At 48.1% G+C, this 16,925-nt stretch overlaps 1 protein-coding gene across 18 annotated transcripts in view, besides 2 other annotated features; it reads right to left on the bottom strand.

Annotated features, from left to right (window-relative positions):
• The window catches only part of IL6R (interleukin 6 receptor), a 64,108-nt gene that overhangs the window by 16,091 nt on the left and 31,092 nt on the right, over positions 1–16,925 (bottom strand). For 9 of the 18 annotated variants that reach the window (NM_001382769.1, NM_000565.4, NM_181359.3 and 6 more), the window contains 2 exons: positions 5,189–5,235; positions 3,380–3,449 (listed from right to left, as the gene is read on the bottom strand). In NM_001382769.1, the coding sequence (NP_001369698.1) occupies positions 3,380–3,449; positions 5,189–5,235 (117 nt within the window). Of the gene's footprint in view, positions 1–3,379; positions 3,450–5,188; positions 5,236–7,317; positions 7,411–8,265; positions 8,314–15,274; positions 15,926–16,925 lie in introns of those variants that run through there. The other 9 variants (XM_017001199.2, NM_001382771.1, NM_001382773.1 and 6 more) reach the window with 3 other exon arrangements.
• Positions 7,576–8,075: an enhancer, noted in NCBI's record as "H3K4me1 hESC enhancer chr1:154417761-154418260 (GRCh37/hg19 assembly coordinates)". NCBI's record gives its function as "activates a minimal SCP1, AML or CMV promoter by ChIP-STARR-seq in naive H9 embryonic stem cells {active_cell/tissue: H9 hESC(naive)}" and the evidence as "EXISTENCE:reporter gene assay evidence [ECO:0000049][PMID:30033119]".
• Positions 10,725–10,824: a silencer, noted in NCBI's record as "silent region_1358". NCBI's record gives its function as "represses an Ori minimal core promoter by ATAC-STARR-seq in GM12878 lymphoblastoid cells {active_cell/tissue: GM12878}" and the evidence as "EXISTENCE:reporter gene assay evidence [ECO:0000049][PMID:35858748]".

The following is a 16,925-nucleotide window of genomic DNA, read 5'->3' as shown; positions in this document are numbered from 1 at the left end:
CAGACTGGTGAGCGGGCGCTGGCTGCAAAGACAAGTTTCTCCAAGCATGTCCCATGTCTCTTGAGAGATGCAGCTGTGTAATGAAAGCAGTATGCTTGGCTTGCTCATTTATTAACATTTCATCATCTTTTCTATTTGTTCCTTCTTTTTTTTTGAAATGGAGTCTCGCTCTTGTCACCCAGGCTGGAGTGCAGTGGTGTGATCTCCGCTCACTGCAGCCTCCGCCTCCCGGGTTCAAGCAATTCTCCTACCTCAGCCTCCCAAGTACCTGGGACAATAGGCACATGCCACCATGCCCGGCTAATTTTTGTATTTTTTGTAGAGATGAGGTTTTGCCATGTTGCCCAAGCTGGTCTCCAACTCCTGACCTTAGGTGATCCGCCCACCTCGGCCTCCCAAAGTGCTGGGATTACAGGCATGAGCCACGGCGCCTGGCCATATATTTGTTCCTTCTTTCATCCAACAAATATTCTTTGAGTGCCTATCATGTATCTAAATGGATCTTACATCCAATCAAGGGAGACAGACAAATGAATTTTTTTTTTTTTTGAGACGGAGTCTTGCTCAGTGGCGCTGTCTCGGCTCACTGCAACCTCCGCCTCCCGGGTTCACCCTATTCTCCTGCCTCAGCCTCCCGAGGAGCTGGGACTACAGGCACCCGCCACCACACCCGGCTAATTTTTTGTATTTTTAGTAGAGACGGGGTTTCACCGTGTTAGCCAGGATGGTCCTGATCTCCTGACCTCGTGATCCACCTGCCTCGGCTCCCAAAGTGCTGGGATTACAGGCGTGAGCCACCGCGCCCGGCCAAACAAATGTTTTTTAAAAAAATTATCAGGAAAAGCCTCCCGGAGAAGGGTGCATCTGAGCAGAGACTTGAGTAATAGGAAGGAGCTGGCAAAGTGAATGTCAGAGGAAGCGTGTCCAGGCAGAGCACACAGCAAGTGCAAAGGCCCTGAGGTAGAGCATGTGTGGAGGAGCAAGGAGGGCAGTGTGGCTGGGGCAGAGCGAGGAAAGGGAGAATGGAGAGGCAACGTCTAAAGATAGGGGACCACATGGCTTTGCTGGGACTCCTCGTAGAAACTGGGGACTTTGTCAAGACTTTGACTTTTACTCTGGGGGAGATGGTACTGAGCCAGAGAGAGCTTGGATTTGTGTTTTAAGGGATACTCTAAGTGCTGGTTGGAAAAGAGTTGGTTGGGGGTTAAGACTAGAAGTTGGTAGACCAGTTGGCAGCCCAGGAAGCCCTGCTGGATGAGAGGCGGCAGGGGCTGGACTGGGTGTTGGCACTGGAGATGGTGAGGAGTGGTCAATTCCTAGATACGTCTCAAAGCACAAGGACAACGCTTGCTGAGGGACTGGACACAGGATGAGGAGTAGGGAGGAAGCCTGCCCGATCCCCCGCACCTGAGCAAATGCGGTACCAGTTACTGAGATAGGGAAGATGGAGAAGAACAGATCTGGGTTGAATAGGTGGGGAGGCGTCAGGTGTTCTCTTTTAGACATGTTAAATTTGAGAATGCTGGCCAGGCGCGGTGGCTCACACCTGTAATCCCAGCACTTTGGGAGACCGAGGCAGGCAGATCACCTGAGGTGGGGAGTTCGAGTCCAGCCTGACTAACATGGAGAAACCCCGTTTCTACTAAAAATACAAAATTAGCCAGGCGTGGTGGTGCATGCCTGTAATCTCAGCTACTCGGGAGGCTGAGGCAGGAGAATCGCTTGACGAGACTCCGTCTCAAAAAAAAGAAAAAAAATCATCAGTGAGGGTGGACGAAGAGGACTGGAGGTTCCCCTCCTCCATAGCAGCTTTTGTTTTTGTTGTTGTTGTTTTGTTTTTTTGACATGGAATCTCACTCTGTGGCCCAGGCTAGAGTGCAGTGGCTCGATCTCAGCTCACTGCAACCTCTGCCTCCCAGGTTCAAGTGATTCTCTTGCCTCAGCCTCCCAAGTAGCTGGGATTATAGGCACCTGCCATCACGCCTGGCTAATTTTTGTATTTTTAGTAGAGATGGGGTTTCACCATGTTGGCCAGGCTAGTCTTGAACTCCTGACCTCAGGTGATTCTCCTACCTCGGCCTCCCAAAGTGCTGGGATTACAGGCGTAAGCCACCGCGCCCGGCCCATAGCAACCTTTGAACACCCAACCTCTTGCATCCCACCCATACCATTCAAAGCCCATTTCAAATGGCACTTCCTCCATGAGCTTTCTGTGACTGCTCAGCTTGATATACTCTTTCAAATCTCTAAATTCCACTTTGCTTTATCTGTGCCTCCCTTTTGGCCCATCTCACATGCTGGTCTTTGTCACAGTTACCAATTTACTCTTTGTCAGAGCCTGGACTGTAGCCTCCTTGAGAACAGGGATGGCTCTAATCCTCTCCGAGTCCCCAACTGTGCAGAGCTCAGCCCCAGGTATTTAGCAGGTCCTCCACAGGTGCACTGCACCATGGTAGGGCTTTGTACCTGGGCTGTTGTAGCAGAGGCAGCCAGCATCAGTGCAGGCAGGAATCCACCCAGGGATGGGGAACGAGGGCAAGGACTGCCTCACGAAGCCCAAGAGTCATCAGGGGAGCTGCTCAACTACTGAACCTCTGGAGTCTGGATTCCATAAGTCCCATATACCTAGTCAAACACAGGACTTGTGATCTTTCTTGATTCAAATACTGGTAAGCTTTCCTGGTCTTGCAGGGATAGGGAATCAAAAGCATTGAAATCAAGGGCTCCCAAAATAAAGATTTCCCTCAACAGGTATTCCATTTCAGACTCCAATAATCTTGTTTGCAGCACATTCATTTGTATTGTGGGCCAACTGTGAAATATCTCACTTTTCAAATATCTCGAAGTGATTTGTCCCACTTTTCTTACGGTCTCCTCATTATATCTTAGCTAACAATATCAAAGTTCAACATATAAAGTAATAAAAGAACATTTCTGGCCAGGCACGGTGGCTCATGCCTGTAATGTCAGCACTTTGGGAGGCCGAGGTGGGTGGATCACAACGTCAGGAGTTCAAGACCAGCCTGGCCAACATAGTGAAACCCTGTCTCTAGTAAAAATACAAAAATTAGCTGGGCATGGTGGCATGCGCCTGTAATCCCAGCTACTTGGGAGGCTGAGGCAGGAGAATCGCTTGAACTCAGGAGACAGAGGTTGTGGTGAGCCGAGATCATGCCACGGCACTCCAGCCTGGGCAACCGAGCAAGACTCTCTCCAACACACACACACACACACACACACACACACACACACACAGAACATTTCTGCGATTGATCTGTGATTGATCCTCTGACGACATGTCCAAATAAGAAAGGACTTTCTGCAGAGACAAATCTTCTGTCCCTCGGACCCTGGGAATATGAAAATACCCAGTCCTTACCTGGGAGGCTTGTCGCATTTGCAGAATCTCTGAAGAGAATATTATCATCGTCTTTATTAGTAGTAAGTGCCTAAAAGAGACATTCCTCACCATCAGCCTGTTTCTGCAGATTGCACCATCATTCAGAACCAGTTCAGGAGTTACCTCCTCCTCAGAGCCCTCCCTGATCCACCCAAAGCATTCCTTTCTCCATTTCATTCATAACAGTGGAAAAATCAATAATACTATTATTTGCATTTTTTCTATCCACACCATGCCTGCTAAAGGTGGGGCTTTCTTTCCACCTGCCTCTCCACCAAAAGCTTAAAGCTGCACAGAGAAGATGCTCAGTGGATACACTGAAGCAGCTGTTGTCCTTACAGGTCCGATGCAAGGATGCAGGTACTACCATGACTGGAATGCTGGTTCCACCACTTACGAGCTATGTCACCTTGGACAGACTTCTTTTTTTTTGTTTGTTTTTTTGTGAAATGGAGTTTCACTCTTGTTGCCCAAGCTGGAGTGCAATGGCATGATCTCGGCTCACTGCAACCTCCGCCTCCCAGGTTCAAGCGATTCTCCTGCCTCAGCCTATCAAATAGCTGGGATTACAGGCATGCGCCACCACACCCAGCTAATTTTGTATTTCAGTAGAGAAAGGGTTTCTCCATGTTGGTCAGGATGGTCTTGAACTCCTGACCTCAGGTGATCTGCCTGCCTCAGCCTCCCAAAGTGCTGGGATTACAGGTGTGAGCCCCTGTGCCCGGCCCTGGCCTCAGACTTAACTCACGTTAAGAAGCCCTACAAGGCCGGGCGCGGTGGCTCACGCGTGTAATCCCAGCACTTTGGGAGGCCGAGGCGGGTGGATCATGAGGTCAGGAGATCGAGACCATCCTGGCTAACAAGGTGAAACCCCGTCTCTACTAAAAATACAAAAAAAATTAGCCAGGCGCGGTCGCGGGCGCCTGTAGTCCCAGCTACTCGGGAGGCTGAGGCAGGAGAATGGCGTGAACCCGGGAAACGGAGCTTGCAGTGAGCCAAGATTGCGCCACTGCAGTCCGCAGTCCCACCTGGGCGACAGAGCGAGACTCCGTCTCAAAAAAAAAAAAAAAAAAAAAAAAAAAAAGCCCTTACAAGCACTCCCTTGCAATGTTAACATAAGGAGCCAATGAAACAGCAAATGCAAGGCTCACAGTTTAGCAGGATGTGGCCAGTCCTCAGTCGGTGTCAGTTTCCCCAGAACCCGTGTTGGGAGCACTCTAGCCCCATGGGTATGGGCTTCACCTGCAGCTGTTCCTACATGGAACACAGATAAGGTTCAAGAGCCCCAGGCTCCTTCCCTGTGCCGCACAGCTCCAGAAGTGGCTATGACTCCCAGCTTAGCATTTAGGGAATTAAGGGCCACAGGAGGAGATATAGTTGGATAGGAAATTGGATTACTCAAGGAATTTGTTAAGCAGCTTCAGAGGTAATCCTCTTTCCAGCAAATTATGTCACCAAGAGTCCACAGGGGAAGGATGCAGATAAACAGAATCCAATCTCAAGCTAAGCCATTAGCGTTGTCCAAAAAGCTCAGAGATGAAATAGCAGCTGCTAGACGCAGAGCAGTTCTGCACGCCAGGCCAGCGCTGCTCCACTCCTTACAGTCCTGGGACAAGATAATTTCTATGATTCCCTTTCACAGAGGTTTGAAAAGCACAGGTAACTCACCACGACCACATTTCTACTAGTGACAGAACTGGATTTAAACCAAATTCGGTCTGGCATCAGCCCACACTCCTAAACACGAGGTGCTGCAGCCCTGACCCTTTTACAAGAACAGGAGCTCACCTGCATGGGGGTGGACACCTCGTTCTCAGCTGGAGGACTCCTGGATTCTGCGGACAGAAGAAAGGCTCATTATTAGTGATTCATGGGCCCTGGAGTCCTGTCTCAGGGGCTTCAGCATCAGAAAAAAAAAGTTCATCTCAATGTTATTTAAAAGAACAGCATGGGCTGGGCGCGGTGGCTCACGTCTGTCATCCCAGCACTTTGGGAGGATGGGTAGATCACCTGAGGTTAGGAGTTCGAGACCACCCTGACCAACATGGAGAAACCCTGTCTCTACTAAAAATACAAAATTAGCTGGGTGTGCTGGCACATGCCTGTAATCCCAGCTACTCGGGAGGCTGAGGCAGGAGAATCGTTTGAACCCGGGAGGCGGAGGTTGCAGTGAGCCGAGATCATGCCATTGCACTCCAGCATGGGCAATAAGAGCAAAACTCCGTCTCAAAAACAAAACAAAACAAAACAAAACAAAACAAAACAAAACAAAAAACAGCATGCTGGAAATAACCAAATATCCAACCGTAAGGGACTAGCTGTAGAAATTATGACATAACTACATAATGCAGAAACTTTTAAAATTTATTTTATATATATATATGTATGTGTATATATATATATGTGTATGTGTATATATATGTATGTGTATATATATGTATGTGTGTATATATATATGTGTGTGTGTGTGTGTGTGTGTGTGTATATATATATATATATATATATTTTTTTTTTTTTTTTTGAGATGGAGTTTCACTCTTTTGCCCAGGCTGGAGTGAAGTGGCATAATCTCGGCTCACTGCAACCTCCACCTACTGGGTTCAAGCGATTCTTCTTCCTCAGCCTCCCAAGTAGTTGGGATTATAGGCGCCCACCACCACACCCAGCTAATTTTTGTATTTTTAGTAGAGACAGGGTTTCACCATATTGGCCAGGCTGGTCTTGAACTCCTGACCTCAGGTGATCTATCCGCTTTGGCCTCCCAAAGTGCTAGGATTACAGGCATGAGCTACCGTGCCTGGCCAATTATTATATATTTTTTGAGACAGGGTCTCGCTCCGTCGCCAGGCTGGAGTGCAGTGGCATGATGATGGCTCACTGTAGCTTTAACTTCTGGGCTTCAGTGATCCTCCCATCTCAGCTTCCCAAGTATCTGGGACTACAGGCGTGTGCCACCACGTCTGGCCAAAAATATTTTAGAAAAACATTGAAGACATGACATAATGCTGTATGAAGAATGCAAGACAAGAAAAATTCTATGTATTTTGATTCAAACTTTCTAAAGAAATATATTTTTATGATTATTGTGTAACACAGTATATATCATAATACTATATATTTGCACACAGGAAGAAGAAAATGGAAAGATACACATCACCAGAGATAAGCACTATTTCAATTTCCTTCTATGCACCTTTTTGCAATAAAAAATATATAACAAATAAATATTCATTTGCCTGTATGGGTTTAGTACACATTGCAGCAGCAGGGATGTGGACCAGGCACCCTCACGGCTCCCTCCCCCTGCACGGGAACAGTGTTTCTGCGGAAACCCCAAGGCAAGAGGAGGCTAAGTATCCAAGCGAAAGCCTGGGCCTTAACCGTAACAGGCAGTGAGTGGAATGCTCTGGATTTCAAAACATTTTCTTGTCAGCTCATCATTTTTCCATCAAGAATTCTAAAATTCCACAGAATGGTTTAAACAAAAATCACGAGCCTCGCTGGGCCAGGAGTAAGGACTAGCAAGGAGGCGGGGAGAGGGTGACCCTGCTTCGGCGTCAGGGAGGGTTTCCAGAATTCCTGGAGTATGCCATCACCAGTAAGGGGGAAACCACACACCAGCAGCACCAGAGGAAGTATAAGAATGCATCCACTCTTCCAATTGTACAGAGGGGAAACAGAGGCCCGGAGAGGGAAAGCGACTTGTTCAAGGCCGCACAGCAAGTGCGACCTGAATTGAACCTAGAATTCATGGGAGGGACCCAGTTTATTGTTCCTTTGCGTTCTTCCCAGCCCAGCAGAGGACAGTTACACACTTATAGCCCAGGGTATCTAAAGGATGACCTGAGGGCATGGAGGCACTAGAATGAAAGCTAAAATCAGAAGACAAAGAAGATGGGGGCAGGCCGGACTCACACCTGTAATCCCAGCACTTTGGGAGACTGAGGCTGGAGAATCCCATGAGGCCAGGAGTTTGAAACCAGCCTGGGTAACATAGTGAGACCTCATCTCTAAAAAAAAAAGAAGAAAACAAGAAGAAGATGGGGCAGCCCTAAATAGAAAATATGGCTGCCCATGGATGCTCGTGCAGTTCAGCAGTTTTCCAAACCCCGCCAGAGTCAGCTTCGTCTGGAGCCTTGAAGGCTCCACCTTGCTTGTTGCCTCAGAACCATGGAAATGGGACCCAGTCATTAGGGCTTTTTTTTTTTTTGAGACCGAGTCTCGCTCTGTCGCCTGGGCTGGAGTGCTGTGGCGCAAACTCAGCTCACTGCAAGCTCCGCCTCCTGGGTTCAAGCCATTCTCCTGCCTCAGCCTCCTGAGTAGCTGGGACTACAGGCGCCCACCACCACACCCGCCTAATTTTTTGTATTTTTAGTAGAGACGGGGTTTCACCGTGTTAGCCAGGATGGTCTTGATCTCCTGACCTGGTGATCCGCCCGCCTCAGCCTCCCAAAGTACTGAGATTACAGGTGTGAGCCACCGCGCCCAGCTGTCATTAGGGTTTTTTAAAGGCTCCCCATACTATACTCAAGACAGATGCTTCAGGAAGAAAGTTTCTACTCTCAGTCCTGACCCCCAACACAGCCTGTGGCCCAGAGAATGCCCAGTAACCTCTGGCGGCTCAGGTTTCTGGGGTTAAAGTGGTAATGAACCACAAAGCCACAGGAAGAGGGGAGGAGAGACCGTGGGACCCACAGGCTCAGTGGCGCCAGGCAGCTCCTGCGTGCTGAGCAAGGGGACCCTACTTCACACCTTTCCTCGCAGCCTTTAAACCACCCAACAGACAGCTCATCACTGCTCCTCTATTCGTGTAGAAACAAATAAATAAACCTCACTGAGGAGCCTCCTGAGGAGAAATGACTCACCTCCAGCTGGGTCCCAAATGCCACCCGGGATGGTCTGTGGAGAGAAGCCTAGTGGAGACAAGTACAGAAAAGGCTGTGTGTACAAATCTCCACAGTGTCTGGGTGCCAAAAGCGCCCCTCATTTTGAGGTTTCACCCTTCCTCATTTGGGGGGGGCGGGTGTGGGGGGCAGTTAAGGAGTCTTTTTGTTGTTAAGACAGGGTCTCCCTCTGTTGCCCAGGCTGGAGTGCAGTAGTGCAATCATAGCTCATTGCAGCCTCCAACTGCTGGGCTCAGGTGATCCTTCCACCTCAGCCTCCCACTTAGCTAGGACTACAGGTGTGCACTGCTATGCCCAACTAATTTTTTTTTAACTTTTTTTTGTAAAGACAGGGTCTCCTTATGGTGCCCGGCTGGTCTCTATCTCCTGGGCTCAGGCAATCCTCCCCCATCAGCCTCGTAAAGTGCTGGGATTATAGGCCTGAGCCACCACGCCTGACCAAGCATCCTTTCTTTTATGAAATTATGGTGATGGTAAATGCTAATAGTTATTTATCACTTACTTGTTACATTTTATGTCCTTACTTAGCAAAATTAAAAGCTGGCAACCAGCCGGGCACGGTGGCTCATGCCTGTAATCCCAGCACTTTGGGAGGCCGAGGTGGGTGGATCACCTGAGGTCAAGAGTTAAGACCAGCCTGACCAACATGGAGAAACCCCGTCTCTACTAAAAATACAAAATTAGCCGGGCATGATGGCGCATGCCTGTAATCCCAGCTACTCAGGAGGCTGATGCAGGGGAATTGCTTGAACTCAGGAGGTGGAGGTTGCGGTGAGCTGAGATCACGCCATTGCACTCCAGCCTAGGCAACAAGAGCGAAACTCCGTTTCAAAAAAAAAAAAAAAAAGCTAGCAACTTTAATTGGTCCCCAGAATTGTTTTTGAAATTTTACAGACCCGTGAAATCCCAACGTTTAGGAATCACCCAGTTGTGCACAAGGATGTCAGGCGGATAGGCAATGCGAGGATGAGGGAGGAGGGTCGTGGAGAGGGGCACGAAGAGTGGAGTGCAACAGAATGGCTGACTGCTAGATGCTATTGAGATGTGGCAAGAACCCAAACCAAGGCAGAGACATTTGGTGCGATGTGCAAGCTCCTGGCTGGGTAGCTGGGTGGGTGGGGTGTCCCCTGGACAAGCAGGGCAGGGAGATCTGTGAGGGGTGTGATATGTTTGGTTTGGGTCATGCGGAGCACCTGGCACAGGAGGGAGGATCTGGCCAGAAGTCTGGGCCAAGTTGAAGACATGAATCCAAAGCTCGAGAGACAGGCTTGGCAGGAGATACGGGTGAAAGGCAGTCATGCTGGCATTTATTGCACCCTTGTCATGTGCCAGGCTCTGTGCTAATTGCTTCTCACCTCACTGAAGCCTCACAACCCAGCAAGGCTGGGGTTTGGGTTTTTTGAGGCAGGCATTATTATTCCCATTTGACAAATAAGCAAACTGAGTCTCAGTGAGGTACTTCCCCAGGGTCGTGCTAGTCAAGGGCAAGGGCAGCAACTAGACCCAATGCTGCCTGACTCCAGAGCCAGTGCTCTGCACAAAGTGGCAGGTGATGCAGTGGAAGTGGGCGGGGCCCCAGTGGAATGTTCCAGAAAGCTGCAGAAAACAGGGCAGAGAGGGAATTCAGGGATGCCATATGGATAAGTGAACAGGGCAAAATCTCTCCGGAAATGTGTAACCAAGGCTCTTTAACCCCAGAATGTCCCACTTGGGAGTGCTGCAGAGAGGAACAAAACAAACTCCTCCAGAATGGATGGCCAAAGAGTTTGAGAAGATAACGTGTAGCTGGAGGCACTGACCGCCCAGTCCTGGCTTCAGGGCACCCCCTCATGTGCAAATGCAAACCTTTGGTATCACCTCCTCCAACAGGTGTGATTCCCATTCTTGGGGAATAGGAGAGGGAGTTAAAGGGATTATTTGTGAGAAGCAAGGAATAACCCCCTTATACCTAATGGGCTTTTCCCAGGCATTTTGCCCCACGCCCTCTTTGAAAAGGGGCTCCAGCCTGGCACAGTGGCTCATGGCTATAAATCCCAGAGCTTTGGGAGGCTGAGGCAGGAGGATCACTCAAGGCCTGTGCAACATAGGGTGACCTCATCTCTGTAAAATATTTTTTAAAAAATTAGCTGGGCATCGTGATGCATGCCTATAGTCCTAGCTACTCAGAGGCTGAGGCAGGAGTTCAAGGCTGGAGTGAGCTATGATTATGCCACTGCACTCCGGCTTGGGCAACAGAATGAGATACCATCTCTGAAAAAAAAAAAAAAGAAGAAAATGATTTTGTGATTCCCCCAGACTCAATGTTGATGTGACAGGGAGAACTCCCATCAGGAGAGGATAAATTCAGAACTCCCGCTTGAGAGAAAGCTGCCGACCGTGCTGGCCTTGCTGGCCAAAGCAGGGCTAAGACAGAGTGACCCTGGGACCCCCAACTTCATACAAAAGGCTATCCTGGGCTACAGTCTGTGCGGGGGGCCAGGCCCCAGCCTCAAGGGGGCAGCACCTGCTGAAGTCCAGGCTCCAGAGCCCCACTCTATGGCATTCCACTTCCACTCCTACAGGGGCCCACCAAGGCCGGCCTCCACCTGTCCCACTCAGACCACCCACCCACACACGTGTCGGCCTCACCAAGCAGCTCTCTGCCACCCTCCCCTTGCTCACAGCTCCGTGCCTTTGTACTCTGCCTACAATCCCCATTTTCTGTCTGGGACCCTCCTACACATCCTTCAAGACATAATTCAATTGTCACCTCCTCCATGAAGCTTTTCCTGCTATCTCTAAACTGCCCCAACAGAACAGTCTGCTTACGGCCTTATCGTGCTGTGAACACCATCTATTACGTATTAGACATACTACAGTGGGGCACGCACCCTCCTCCAGCCCCCTCAAGCACATACTAAAACCACCAGGAAAGCTTTCTCAAACCACCCACTCTACTTCCTCCTCCAGATTCCAATGCAGTGAGTTCACGATGGCATCCAGGATAGTGATTCTGGGATGCCCCTGGTCCCACTCTCCTCCCAAGAACCAGCACTGTCCTGTAATTGCTGATCCCCTTACAAATGCAGTATGCTTTAGCATTTCTAAAGAATATTTTTTCATCAGACTCACAAAAACTCTCTGAAAGGAACAAGATTGGTGCTATCATCTCTACTTTACCGATGACAAGACTGAGGCTCTGAGAGCTGAACTAACTTTACCAGTGTCATACAACCTGACTCCCAGGTGCTTCCCAGGACCTCTGTGTCTCCCAAAGGCCACCACTCCCACACCTAGTCTGGGAGGCAGGTGCATCCTGTCTGTCTGGGCCTTGAGAGCTGAAGGTCCTTGGGGTGGGTAAGCTCACCCCACACGGTGATACAGTGTTTAGTACACTGATGCGTCCCTAACAGCCAAATAACCGTGGTCCATAACACACACCTCACCTAGTGCTCTAACCTTCCCCTTATTTTTCAGAACTGCCCGCCAATTTCCAACCTGAATCCCCCTCTTGCGTCAAAATCATCCAAGTTCCTCTTGCTCTTCCCTCAGCAGAGAGGGGAGCAGCAGGTTTCTTTCTTGGATATATTCACAACTGGGTTTTGAAGACTTCCCCTGCCTCAAACCACACATGCATAGGGTGGAGGGCTCAAAGTCTTCCGCTCCTTACATGAGAAGAAACCGACTGTTCTATCTGAGCTCCCACAGAAGCTGTGTCTATGCCAAAGAAGCACATCCACCTGAGGCTGGAAAGTGGAGACCGTACCCAGTGCTGGCCAGACAGCCCCCACCACACCATCTTCCAATAGAAGGAGAGTGTCAGCAACTTAAAGAGGGACATCCACAAATGAGACCAGATTCAGGGGAAGGGGGCCAGAAAGGTGAAGAATTCACAGACCATCTCATGTAACAGCCTGGGAAGAGGAGCCCAAGCAGATGCAGGTCTGGGAACTCCAAAAGAATTCAGAGAGAGCAGACTAGGAAATTTGTCATTGGTTATCCCTGAGAACAGAGCAAGGGCCAGTGAGGCCAGAGTTAGGTTCACATAAGAAAGAACTTTCTATTTGAATAGATATTTCTCCAAAGATATATGAATGGCCAAGAAGCACATGAAAAGATCCTCAGCCTGGGTGTGGTGGCTCACGCCTGTAATCCCAGTACTTTGGGAGGCATAGATGGGCAGATCACTTGAGGTCAGGAGTTCAAGAGCAGCCTCGCCAACATGGCAAAGCCCCGTCTCTGCTAAAAATACAAAAATTAGCTGGGTGTGGTGGTGCATGCCAATCTCAACTACTCGGGAGGCTGAGGCACGAGAATCACTTGAACCCCAGGAGGTGGAGGTTACAGTGAGCCAAGATCGCCCCACTGCACTCCAGACTGGGTGACAGGGTGAGACTCTGTCTCAAAAAAAAAAAAAAAAAGACATTAATCATTAGGGAAATGCAAATCAAAACCACAGTGAGATAACACTTCACATCCATAAGGAGGACTATTGCAGCAAAATGAAAAATAACAAATGTTGGCAAGGATGTGGAGAAACTGGAACCCTTATACACTCTGGTGTAAGTGTAAAATGGTGCAGCCACTGTGGAAAACGGCATGGCATTTCCATGAAAATTTAAAAATAGAATTACCATATAATGCCACAATTATAATTCTGAGTATATACACAAAAGAACTGAAAGCAGGAATCTAAACAGATATTTTACACCCGTGTTCATAGCAGCATTATGCACAACCAAAATGGGGAAGCAAACCCAGTGTCCCCTGACAAATGAATGAATCAACACAATGTGGTATCTCTACACAATGGAATATTATTCAGCCTTAAAAAGGGAGGAAAGTCTGACACATGTTATACCACATGAATAAACCTTGAGGACATTATGCTAAGTGAAATAAGTCAGTCACCAAAGGACAAATACTCTCTGATTCCACTTATTTGAAGTACCTAGAGTGCAGCCTGGGCAACATGGTGAAACCTTGTCTCTACAAAAAATACAAAAATTAGCCAGGCATGGTGGCAGGCGCCTGTAATCTCAGCTACTCAGGAGGCTAAGGCTGGAGAATTGCTTGAACCCGGGAGGCAGAGGTTGCAGTGAGCCAAGGTCACGACAGTGCACTCCAGCCTGGGTGGGTGACAGAGTGAGACTCCGTCTCAAAAAAAAAGAGAAAAAGAGAGAGACAGAAAGAGACAAAGGAAGGCAGGCAGGCAGGTAGGCAGGCATGCAAGCAAGCAAGCAAGCAAATGAAGTACTAGAGTAGTCAAACTCACAGAAAAAGCAAGTAGACTGGTGGTTGCCACGAGCTGGGGGAAGGAGTGGGTGAAAGGAAAGTTACTGTTTAACAGATTCTGAGTTTCAGTTTTACAAGATGAAAAAAGTCCTGGAGAAGTAAAGTGGTGATGGTTGCACAACAATACTTAATGCCACAGAGCTGTGCACTTAAAAATAATATAAATGGGCAGGGCGCGGTGGCTCACGCCTGTAATCCCAGCACTTTGGGAGGCTGAGGTGGGTGAATCACCTGAGGTCAGGGGTTCAAGACCAGCCTGACCAATATGGTGAAACCCCATCTCCACTAAAAATATAAAAATTAGCCAGTCATGGTGGCAGGTGCCTGTAGTCCCAGCTACTCGGGAGGCTGAGATAGGAGAATTGCTTGAACCCGGGAGGCAGAGGTTGCATTGAGCTGAGATCACGCCACTGCACTCTAGCCTGGGCGACAGAGCGAGACTCCGTCTCAAAAAATAATAATAATAATATAAATGGTAAATCTTATGTACATTTTACAATTTGAAAATTTTTAGAAGAAACTTTATAAAAAAGCAAGATTGCTTTTAAGCTGCTTGTCACAAGCTTTAAGCTGCTTGTGACTATCTGAACTAAGTGGTTGGAATAAAAGGTAAAATAGGGATCAGCCTATATTTGGAATTCCTATTCCTCTGCACGATGTTAGAGCTGATTTTTCCCCCCTTAAAAAGGCCCCCAAAGCCATACTGATGCTCAGCATTCAGATAAATGAGTGTGTTTGGCTCAAAGTATACACAAATCAAAGAAAACCATGGACAGGTCAATACGATCTACCCTGAAGGATGCACTGATTTATTAAAATGGTCTCCCTAAGTAAGATATAGTAGTTAGGCCCCACTCCTTGTCCAGGTCTGAGCAGGAAAAAAGCTTTTGAGGAGAGGGCCCAATAGAAAGCTGCCTCCTGTCCTTGATGAACAAGGAAAGTGCCAACAAAGATGGAAGCCGGCACTTCATATTATTGCATCCAACTAGGATTACACCCTAAGCCCCAGCATACTCCTCTGGCTCTCCCCAGGACAGGAAAGACAAGGGACAAGGACCCCACAGTACAAAGCCAGCCAGGAGGAAGAGCCATCACCCCACACCATCCAATCTGGGGGAAGAATGTGCAGCCCATAGATAAAAGCCTTCTCTCCCTGGGGCCAGGGCTGGGAGAAAGTGGCAGGGGTCGGGATGGGACTGATGTCAATTCTACCTTTTCCTTTTTATCCATACTTACTCAAATAAATGGGTATCTTATTCTTTTTTTTTTCCTAACTGCCAAGTATTTAAGAATGATTAATTTGGTTCAACTACGCCACAGGGCTAGAAACATTTGACCCCAAAGTGAGCCATGAAGCCATTCTACAACAAAAACACTGGGAACAATAAAACAGATTGCTGCAAGGGGTAGTAAGCTCTCTGTCTCTGGAAGCATTTAAGCAGAGGCTGGCTGACCACTCTCTGGGTTGTGGTCAGGGAGATTCTTGCATTCTAGATCTGCTAAATCCTAACCTTTCATAGCAGGGTGTTGATAGATAATGTCTCAAGTGGTTTTATCAGGGAAAAAAAAAAGCCATATAAGCTTGTTGTTTAGAGTTAAGGAGGGCACCAACAGAGGAACTAGAAACAGAAAGAGTCAAGCAGCTTCCTTAGAAAGCAGGACTAGAAATGGAAGGCATGGGACAAGGGACCACTGCTCAGTGTTATAAGCTGTTTATTACTTCTTTGCCATGTGCATGTATTAATTTGATTAAAATTTTAAAAGTTTAGGCCAGGCGCGGTGGCTCACACCTGTAATCCCAGCATTTTGGGAGGGCGAGGCGGGTGGATCACGAGGTCAGGAGTTCAAGACCAGCCTGGCCAACACAGTGAAACCCCGTCTCTACTAAAAAAAAAAAAAAATTAGCCGGGCGTGGTGGTGTGCACCTGTAGTCCCAGCTACTCAGGAGGCTGAGGCAGGAGAATAGCGTGAACCCAAGAGGCAGAGCTTGCAGTGAGCCAATATCATGCCACTGCACTCCAGCCTGGGCAACAGAGCGAGATTCCGTCTAAAAAAAAAAATTTAAAGTTTAGTCAGGTGCAGTGGCTCACACCAGTAATCCCAGCACTTTGGGAGTCTGAGGCTGGTGGATCACTTGAGGCCAGGAGTTCGAGACCAGCCTGGGCAGCATGGTGAAACCCTGTCTCTACAAAACATTTTTAAAAAATTAGCATTGTGGCACACGCCTGTGGTCCCAGCTACTTAGGAGGCTGAGGCGGGAGGATTGCTTGAACCCAGGAGGCAGAAGTTGCCGTGAGCTGTGATTGCACTGCTGTACTCCATCCTGGGCAACGAGGAGAAAGCCTGTCTTCAAAAAAAAAAAAATTTAAGTTAAAAAAAATTTCCGACCGGGCACAGTGACTCATGCCTATAATCCCAGCACTTTGGGAGGCTGAGGCGGGTGGATCACAAGGTCAGGAGATTGAGACCATCCTGGCTAACACGGTGAAACCCCGTCTCTACTAAAAAATAGAAAAAATTAGCTGGGCGTGGTGGCAGGTGCCTGTAGTCCCGGCTGCTCGGCAGGCTGAGGCAGGAGAATGGCATGAACCTGGAAAGCGGAGCTTGCAGTGAGCCAAGATCATGCCACTGCACTCCAGCCTGGGTGACAGAGTGAGACTCCGTCTCAAAACAAACAAACAAAACAACAACAACAACAACAAATTTCCATGGAGTTTTAAAATATATGTATTAATCAGGCAGTTACTAAATAATAAGTTTCCAAAAGTAATTGACAACATGGGGAATATTACATTTATATATATAAATACACACACACATACATGTACCTAGAAAAAGGAAAGCAGCATACTAACATGTTCTCACTGGTTTTCTCTAGGGAGTAAAAGTACTGGTGATAATTATTCTTCATATCTTTCTGGAATTTTTCATGCTCTAATTTCAACAATCCCCAATGGCAATTATTACTACCTTTAACATTTGAAAAAAATAAAAAGCCCTAGATTAAATACGGCTAACTTCTCTGCAGTGCATCCCTCCAGCTGTGGTGGGATCCCCACCCGCCTGCCCTGAGTCTGGGCTGGCAGCTGAGGATGAGAAGCCACAGGGAGAACCCAGGGCCTCGGCCACCAGCCAGCACCATCGTCAGACATGTGACTGAGGCCATCTCAGACCATCCCAATCTGATGGCAGCTGCATTCCTGATTCAGGCAAGACCAGCAGAAGAGCTGCCTAACTGACTGTATTTTTGAAATTTCAAGCCGATAAATGATGGTCGTTTTTAAGCCACTAGTTGTTTGTTTTGAGACGGAGTTTCGTTCTTATCACCCAGGCTGGAGTGCAGTGGC

Source organism: Homo sapiens, chromosome 1 (assembly GCF_000001405.40).
Source record: "Homo sapiens chromosome 1, GRCh38.p14 Primary Assembly".
Classification (NCBI taxonomy): Eukaryota; Metazoa; Chordata; class Mammalia; order Primates; family Hominidae; genus Homo; species Homo sapiens.
This window is presented reverse-complemented; position numbering and strand designations above follow the sequence as displayed.